The sequence below is a fragment of the Homo sapiens genome, chromosome 9 (genome assembly GCF_000001405.40).
Source record: "Homo sapiens chromosome 9, GRCh38.p14 Primary Assembly".
In the NCBI taxonomy this organism is placed as follows: domain Eukaryota; kingdom Metazoa; phylum Chordata; class Mammalia; order Primates; family Hominidae; genus Homo; species Homo sapiens.
This window is the reverse complement of record NC_000009.12, coordinates 127,414,481-127,422,664: the sequence shown is the minus strand read 5'-3', so window position 1 is coordinate 127,422,664 and position 8,184 is coordinate 127,414,481. Positions and strand designations below refer to the sequence as shown.

The 8,184-nt window shown below is 50.1% G+C and overlaps 2 annotated features.

Annotated features, from left to right (window-relative positions):
* Positions 3,470-4,116: an enhancer, noted in NCBI's record as "H3K4me1 hESC enhancer chr9:130180828-130181474 (GRCh37/hg19 assembly coordinates)". NCBI's record gives its function as "activates a minimal SCP1, AML or CMV promoter by ChIP-STARR-seq in naive H9 embryonic stem cells {active_cell/tissue: H9 hESC(naive)}" and the evidence as "EXISTENCE:reporter gene assay evidence [ECO:0000049][PMID:30033119]".
* Positions 4,117-4,764: an enhancer, noted in NCBI's record as "H3K4me1 hESC enhancer chr9:130180180-130180827 (GRCh37/hg19 assembly coordinates)". NCBI's record gives its function as "activates a minimal SCP1, AML or CMV promoter by ChIP-STARR-seq in naive H9 embryonic stem cells {active_cell/tissue: H9 hESC(naive)}" and the evidence as "EXISTENCE:reporter gene assay evidence [ECO:0000049][PMID:30033119]".

Genomic DNA, 8,184 nt, shown 5'->3' with positions numbered 1-8,184 from the left:
GAAATCTTGCTACCTTGAGGAGAGGAAGCATAACTAGACTGGGATGGATAGGACACTTAGGGAAGAGGAAGTGTTTCATATCCCTGGGACCAGGAGGCCAGAATGAGGCAAACTTGCCCCTCTGTCTGGCCTCCTGTGTTGAGGAGGCCTGAGGTGGCAGAAGGAAGATGGGAGAAGGGCCCCCAAGAAAGCTCTGGCCAGCCTCAGGCTGTCCCCACCCCGCTGATATAGCGTATGTGGAGATAAGGGAGCACCCAGGAGCAAGTGTCACCCCTCCCCTTCCAACAGCAGCCAAAAGGGTCATGACCCTGGCTGCCCTAACTTGGCCCTTGTGTGTCCTGAAGCACAGACACACTGCTTAGAAAGATCATCCTGGTCGCAGTGGCTCACGCCTGTAATCACAGCACTTTGGGAGGCCGAGGTGGACAGATCACGAGGTCAGGAGTTCAAGACCAGCCTGACCAACATGGTGAAGCCCCGCCTCCACTAAAAATACAAAAATTAGCTGGGCGGGGTGGCACGCACCTGTAATCCCAGCTACTCAGGGAGCTGGAGCAGGAGAATCACTTGAACCCGGAGGCAAAGGTCGCAGTGAGCCGAGATCGCACCACTGTATTCCAGCCTGGGCGACAAAGCAAGACTCCATCTCAAAAAAAAAAAAAAGAGATTCTCCTTTGTCTTGCCTCTCAGCTGTCATAAGCAATCAGTGTCCTGTCCCCTTAATAATGTGGTGGTTCTCAAAGTGGGATCCCCAGGCCAGCAGCAGCAGCATCCCCCTTAAAAGTTGTTAGAAAAGCAAATTCAGGGGTCCCACTCCACACCTATAAAACAAATTCTGGGGTCAGGGCTTAGCAGCCTTTGTTTTGACAATCCTTGTAGTTGATACGCTATAAAGTTTGAAAATCACTGACTCAGAGGAAATGGCTTTGTGGAGAAAATGAGCCAAGGCCGGGTGTGGTGGCTCACGCCTGTAATTCCAGCACTTTGGAATGCTGAGGCAGGTGCATCACCTGAGGTCAGGAGTTTGAGACCAGCCTGGCCAACATGGTGAAACCCCGTCTCGACTAAAAATTAAAAAAATAGCTGGGCATGGTGGCACACACCTGTAATCCCAGCTACTCAGGAGGCTGAGGTGGGACAATCACTTGAACCCAGGAGGTGGAGGTTGCAGTGAGCTGAGAGCTCACTGGGAGACAAAGTGAGACTCCGTCTCAAAAAAACAAAAAAACAAAAAAAAAAAGAAAGAAAATAAACGAGCCATAGGAAAGGCCACAAGACAGCTACTTACTTCCACAAGCACATGCTGCGGCTCCCTGCCTCTCCTTTTGCTCAGAGCCACACTGGCTCTTAATGGCTTCAGAGGTCACACCAGCCTCCGTCCTGCCACACAACCTTTGCACTTGCGGGGCCATGACCAGCAGCACTCAACACAGCTGGCCGCTTCTCATGCATGATGTCTGAGCGTACGTCTCAGGAGGGGCCCTCACTTAGTACCCTGTACAGTAACAGCCCTTGCTGCTCCCATGGTGACTTTTTATTTCCTTTTAGCATTTTCCACTGTTGAATAAGTTCACATAGATTGGGTTTACTTTTTTTTTTTTCTTAATTTAGACACAGTGTCTTGCTCTGTCACCCAGGCTGGAGTGCAGTGGCACACCACTCATATAGCTCACTGCAACCTTGGACTTCTGAGCTTAAGCAGTCCTCCCACCTCAGCCTTCTGAGTAGCTGGGATTCCAGGTCTGCACCACCACACCTGGCTAATTTTATTATTTATTTATTTATTTATTTTTTAGACAGAGTTTCGCTCTTGTTGCCCAGGCTGGAGCACAATGGCACGATCTTGGCTCGCCACAACCTCCGCCTCCTGGGTTCAAGCGATTCTCCTGCCTCATCCTCCCAAGTAGCTGGGATTACAGGCATGCGCCACCATGCCAGGCTAATTTTTTGTACTTTTAGTAGAGACAGAGTTTCTCCATGTTGGTCAGGCTGGTCTTGAACTCCCGACCTCAGGTCATCGGCCCGCCTTGGCCTCCCAAAATGCTGGGATTACAGGCATAAACTACTGTACCTGGCCTATACATACACACACACACACACACACACATATGTGTATATATAGATATATATGTGTATATATGTATATATATGTGTGTGTGTGTGTGTGTGTATATATATATATATATTTTTTTTTTTTTTTGAGATGGAGTCTCACTCTGATGCCTAGGCTGGAGTGCAGTGGCGGGATCTCGGCTCACTGCAATCTCCGCCTCCCGGGTTCAAGCGATTTTCCTGTCTCAGCCTCCCAAGTAGCTGGGATTACAGACACGCACCACCATACCCGGCTAGTTTTTGTATTTTTAGTAGAGACGGGGTTTTACCATGTTGGCTAGGCTGGTCTCGAACTCCTGACCTCAGGTGATCTGCCCACCTCGGCCTCCCAAAGTGCTGGGATTATAGGCGTGAGCCACCACGCCAGGCCAGACCTGGCTAATTAAAAAAAAAAAAATACTCCCAAAGCACTGGGCTGACAGGTGTGACCTGTTTAATTCTTTTGTTTGTTTCTTTACTTCTTATTGTCTGCCTCTCTTCAGAAGCTAATTCCCATTAGAGCAGGTGCTGTATTCTTTGCCACCACCATATCACCAGTGTCTACAACTGCCTGACACACAGTAGGTAGTCAGATGCTGAAAGAGTGAATGAATGATGTTCCCCCAGGGCAGGCACGGGTTCTCCAAGTGCCTGTTTCAACACTCCTCCCATGCCACCACCCCTAGACCCAAGCTTGGCATTCCTTTTTTCCTGAGTGATCAGGAAGGCACAGCCACTGTCCCCGGCCTAGTGTGTGATGTCTGTAGCTAAGAAAAAGGCTCCGTCCTTGCCTCAGCTCTGAGGGGTGGGGCCTCAGAGATAAGGAGGACCCTACCCTTGTGTTGCTGGCCCTTCTTTTCAGCATGTCAGACGAATTTGTAATTTCAACCCCAGCCTTTCCCTGCCCCAGCCATAGTTGCTAAGGCAACAATTGGGCCTCAATTTCCTGATGACCAGAGTCCACCAATGGCTGCCATCATCCTGTTATCTCCTGGTCAGCTATTTGTGGCACCATCTCAGCAGTGCCCCAGTCCGGCCAACGCAGAGGAAGTCACCAAGGAGGCTGGGAGGAGGAGCCTCAAGTTTTGCAGAAACTATACACGGCATCTGCTGTGTCACACCTCATATGTGCTGTTCCCTTCCTTTGGGTGCCTCTCTTGTCTCCTGGCCTGCTCTTCTGTCATCAAGGCTGGGCTCGAAGCCTTCTCTGGGAAGCCCTATGCGCATAACGATCCCTTCTGTGCAAGCCTGCAGAGCCTTTCCTGTCTCACTGCTCAGTGACTGACCTGCCCTAAGTCCTTTTCTCCTAGATTTGCTCCCCAAAGACCAAGGAGGGTCTGGGTCATTTCATCTGGTGTCAAGCAAGGTGTGCCTCGGTCTCCCAGTGAGAGACCGTGCATAGCAGGTGTTCCAACAGTGGGACTTCTGACACATCGACAATCCTAATGACCCAGGGACTGAGACCGATCATCTTGTGGGTGGTCAGGACAGCAGGACTGAAGCGGTGACTTAGTTACAGCAGAGGAAGCCAGGCCAGACCCTACCGGGTGTCCCCCCTAACACAGGGTCCCATGTGAGGTTGCAGCTCCCATGCCACCACCCCCAGTGTCCTTGAGGGCGAGTTGGGTTGCCCTTCTGGAGGCCATTAGTGCTTGTCACAGCAGCGTGTTGGGAGATGGAGTCTGAGGGCCGTGATCTGTGCTCCCTCTGGGAGTGTGGTCTGGAAGGGACAGAGGAAAGAGGAGCAGAAGGAGCCAGAAACCAAGCAGGCGCGGTGGCTCATGTCTGGAATCCCAGCACTTTGGGAGGCCGAGACAGGCGGATCACCTGAGGTCAGGAGTTTGAGACGAGCCTGGCCAACATGGTGAAACCCGTCTCTACTAAAAATACAAAAAATTAGCTGGGCGTTGTGGTGCACGCCTGTAATCCCAGCTACTCAGTTGGCTGAGGTAGGAGAATCGCTTGAACCATGGAAGCGGACATTGCAGTGAGCCGAGATCACGCCACTACACTCCAGCCTGGGCGACAGAGTGATACTCTGTCTCAAAAACAATCAAACAAACAAAAGAAACCAAGCAGAAGCAGGTTTCAACCCCTTCGGCTGATCCTGCCTTGTCCAGCAGGCTGAATGAGCTTTGGAGTCATAATCAATCACTTTCACTCTGTTGGGGACCAGAGGCAGTGTCATCCTGCCCAGGCCACAAGGCAGCGGCAGAGAGCGTCACACCTCAGCTGGTGCGATTCTGCGTGCAGCCCCAGGCTCAGTAGGTGCCAACCCCAATGGCCACTACAGGGTTGCTGGCTTAGCCCTGGGATCCCGCACACGCCCACCGTGAGGTAGCCTAGTGTGTCTTGCTCCAGCTGATGCACTTCCACCCCTGGTCCCCGGGGGGCATCAGGGACAAGTCTCTCTGGTTTGCAGAAGCCAAGTTACTCTGGGGCAGGAGCTGGGATGGTGTAAGGGGGTAGTGGGCGTCCGTGGGCCGTGCAGATTTCGGCCCTGGGCTGGGTAAAGCAAGCTTATGCTGCACCTGTCCCCTGGGGCTGTTCTATCCAGTGCTCCTCTCCATAATCCTTTACTGATGGCGCCAGGCTGGGCTTCTGGGGCCCCTACAGGATGGTCAATGGGGGCTGGCTCTGGGTCCGCGAAGCATTCTGTGCTCTGATGGGAAGACTTAAAGGGAAACAAAGGGACCTCTGAAGAGTATGAATCACATTATTGGCACGGGTAAGTGGGTACTGGTAGCAACAGCAGGTGGTGTGGGTGGGGGTTGCCAAGAGGGCGAGGTAGGAAATAGAATATAAGGAGAAAAATGATTGAAGATCTCAAATGTCCCTTTATGAACCCCCCCCAGGGCCTCCCACCCGCCTAGCACAGCTCCCCACCTTCACCACGCCCCCTGCCCCACCCTCACTCGCACCAGTAACAACAGCGACCATTGCCGGAGCACTCACTCTGTCCCGTCCCCAGGTTCAGGTGCTTTACATAATTCTTGCCTTTCATCCTCACAACTCCATGAGGGAGGTAGTGCCATGACGCCCATTTGACAGATGAAGAAACAGGCCGAGAGGGGTCAGGTGACTTGTCCACATCACATAGGCAGGGAGTGGAACAACCAGAGTTGGAACTAAGCACACTCTTACCCTCCATGCAGACTCCAGCAGAGAGCAAAGGAGAGAGGCTGAGGAAGAGTTTGAAGCCACAGTGACATGTTCCTTGCCCACATGTTTACCATCTATCTTGTAGCCTGGGGGCTGACACATCATCCTGCCTTCCCTCTTTTTTTTACAAGCCCTGCTTTGCAGAGGCTGGAGAACAGCCAAGCCAGAGCTGGGAGCAGCCTCTGGCCTGAAGCCCCAGTTGGAGAACTCATCCAGGACAAAGACCAGTCTTCTGCGAGGTGGATGAGAGTGGGTGTCCCGAGCAGAGGCTGTAGTTTAGGGAGGTTAGGCTGCTTGCTCAAGCCCTGTGTGGCCTGAGGTATCAAGCAAAACAGCTGTCCCAGTCATTAGACACCTAATGTGTGCATGAACCTGTCTCGGGTCCTCTTCCTTGGTCCATGGTGTGGACTCCCTGATAACTGATTTGGAGATGAGGGAATAGGTCCCTTTCAGACACAGCCCATGTGTAACCTTCTGGGGTGTAATAGCTTTGACAATGTACACCCCTTGGCCAGCAATGACACCTCTAATGCTCTAATGTTCCCTCCTATGGAAGTTTCTGTTCAGTTAGGCACAGGTTTCTTTTTTTTTTTTTTTTTTTTTTTGTTTGAGACAGAGTCTTGCTCTGTCAACAGGATGGAGTGCAATGGTGTGATCTTGGCTCACTGCAATCTCCACCTCCCTGGTTCAAGTGATTCTCCTACCTCAGCCTCCCCAGTAGCTGGGATTACAGCCACGCACCACCACTCCCAGCTAATTTTTTGTTTTTTGTAGAGACAGGGTTTCACCATGTTGGCCAGGATGGTCTCAATCTCTTGACTTCGTGATCTGCCTGCCTCGGCCTCCCAAAGTGCTGGGATTACAGGCATGAGCCACCACGCCCGGCTGGCACAGGTCTATCTCTAGTTCTACCATCTCTATCTCCAACTCCATCATCTCCCTTTTCCCCACCATCACCATCACCTCTGTCTCCATCTCCATCACTCATCTCCATCATCTCTCTTCTGTGCCATTGCTCTCCCCTCTCTCCTCTTTGATGCTGCTATTGTCTCTCTCATCTCCCTCTAAATTTATATCTATATAATAGCAAAATTAGCAATAAGCAGAAAACTGGAAACAACGTAAATGTGGAGCAATTGGAGTTAAGTTCTGATGTATTTAATATGGGGTTGACTTCAGTTCTGATATATTTATATGATGAAATAACCCTACATTCAACATATTTGAGTACCTGTCTTTGCCAGGCACCACGACTCCAAAGGCAAACAATACTAAGTAATTATTAAAATGATGCAAAAAGTTTAGTTCAGGATGGTGAATTAAACTTACACATTTACCTCCTTTTCTCCTTTGCCAAATCCCACTGAAATGACATTGGAGATGTACAGAAATGAACACATCCATAACAGAGCATAGAATAGGTAGAGAGGTGGGGGAGGGGGAAGGCTTATACCAGCTACTGCAGTTAAGCTGCCTAGTTCTTTATTCCTAAATATGGACAACCAAAGCTCACCAGATATTTGAGATAAACCAGCAGCATAAAAGAGATGGCCCAACATAAACAAGCAGATCAACTGATCCCAGAGGAAGTCAGAGAACAGAAGACAACTTTGAAAAAGCGTGTAAGTAGCTATATTCCTCACAGTGAATGCCAGGTTTGGTGTGGTGGAGGATGTGAGCAGCTGGAACTCCCCTACACTGCTGGTGGGAATGCAAAATGGTGCAGCCACTTTGGAAAACAGTTTGGCAGCTTCTTAAACATAAGACATGACCCAGCGAGTCCACTCCACAGAAAGACTTGTATGTAACTGTTTATAGTGGCTTTATTCATATAGCCCCAAGTTGGAAATAGCTGCACTACCATGCTGTTACGTAGGCTGAAAGAGGTTTCCTCACTACACTAGGGTCCTCCATCATTAATGCTTCTTTAATAAAAACTCTTCTCAAGGCTGCTTTACTTCCAAAGGAAGCTGGAGTCATTCACTGCAAAGGCCATCAAAAGGCCCCACACTCCATTGCTCAAGGCAACAATTATGCTGATAAGACAGAAAAAGCAGCAGCCACTATTCCTACTTCTGTCCCTCATGGCCAGTTTTTCTCCTCATCAGTCACGCCTACTTACTCTCGCACTGAAGTTTCCACCTATCAATCCCTCCCCACTGAAGGCAAATGGTTCTTAGACCAAGGAAATACCTCCTTTCACCCTCACAGGCTCATTCCATTCTGTCATCTTTTCGTAACCTCTTCCATGTAGGTTACAAGCCACTAGCCAGCCTCATAGAACCTCTCATTTCCTTTAAGACATTTACCCTGCATTTCACTCCATCCTTGGCTACCTTCCCCCTGTAAGCCAGAGCGGGTGTGAGGAGGGGAGATGATAGAAGGATTATAGGGTTGGGGAGCGGAGGCTGAGGAAGAATTGGGACGTGGCTCAGCCTGGCGAGGAGCAGCCTGGGGAGGAAGGAAGAGGTCAGATGGGTCCGTAGAAAAGGAGGATTCAAAGGACTTAGAGCTTGGGGTGGAGACTGAAGGAACAGACAGGAGAGAAGAAATATTTAGGACGAGTCACATTGGGAGCAGAGACTAGGGAGGGACAAATGTGTAAAAGAATGCCTGGATGTCAGGCACCTCAGACTATGCCCATTTTATGACAAAAATTATCTAGATCTTGTAGGATGGAGAAATTGAAAGCACTGTTTTCTGGCTATTTAGAACCATTATCAAGGTTTGTATTGGAGCCAAATGGTGTTGCAGAAGAAAATAAGACACTTAGGTTTTAGGTCAGGCGAAAGTTGAAGAGGTTTTACGTTTTTGAGAACACAGGTTAAGGGAGAAGAAGGGGGAATAGAGGGTGGAAGGTTGCCCATAGTGAAGGAGGCAAGCCCAGAGAAAAGAGAGGGTAGAGACACAGAGGTGGGGGCGGGCACTTGC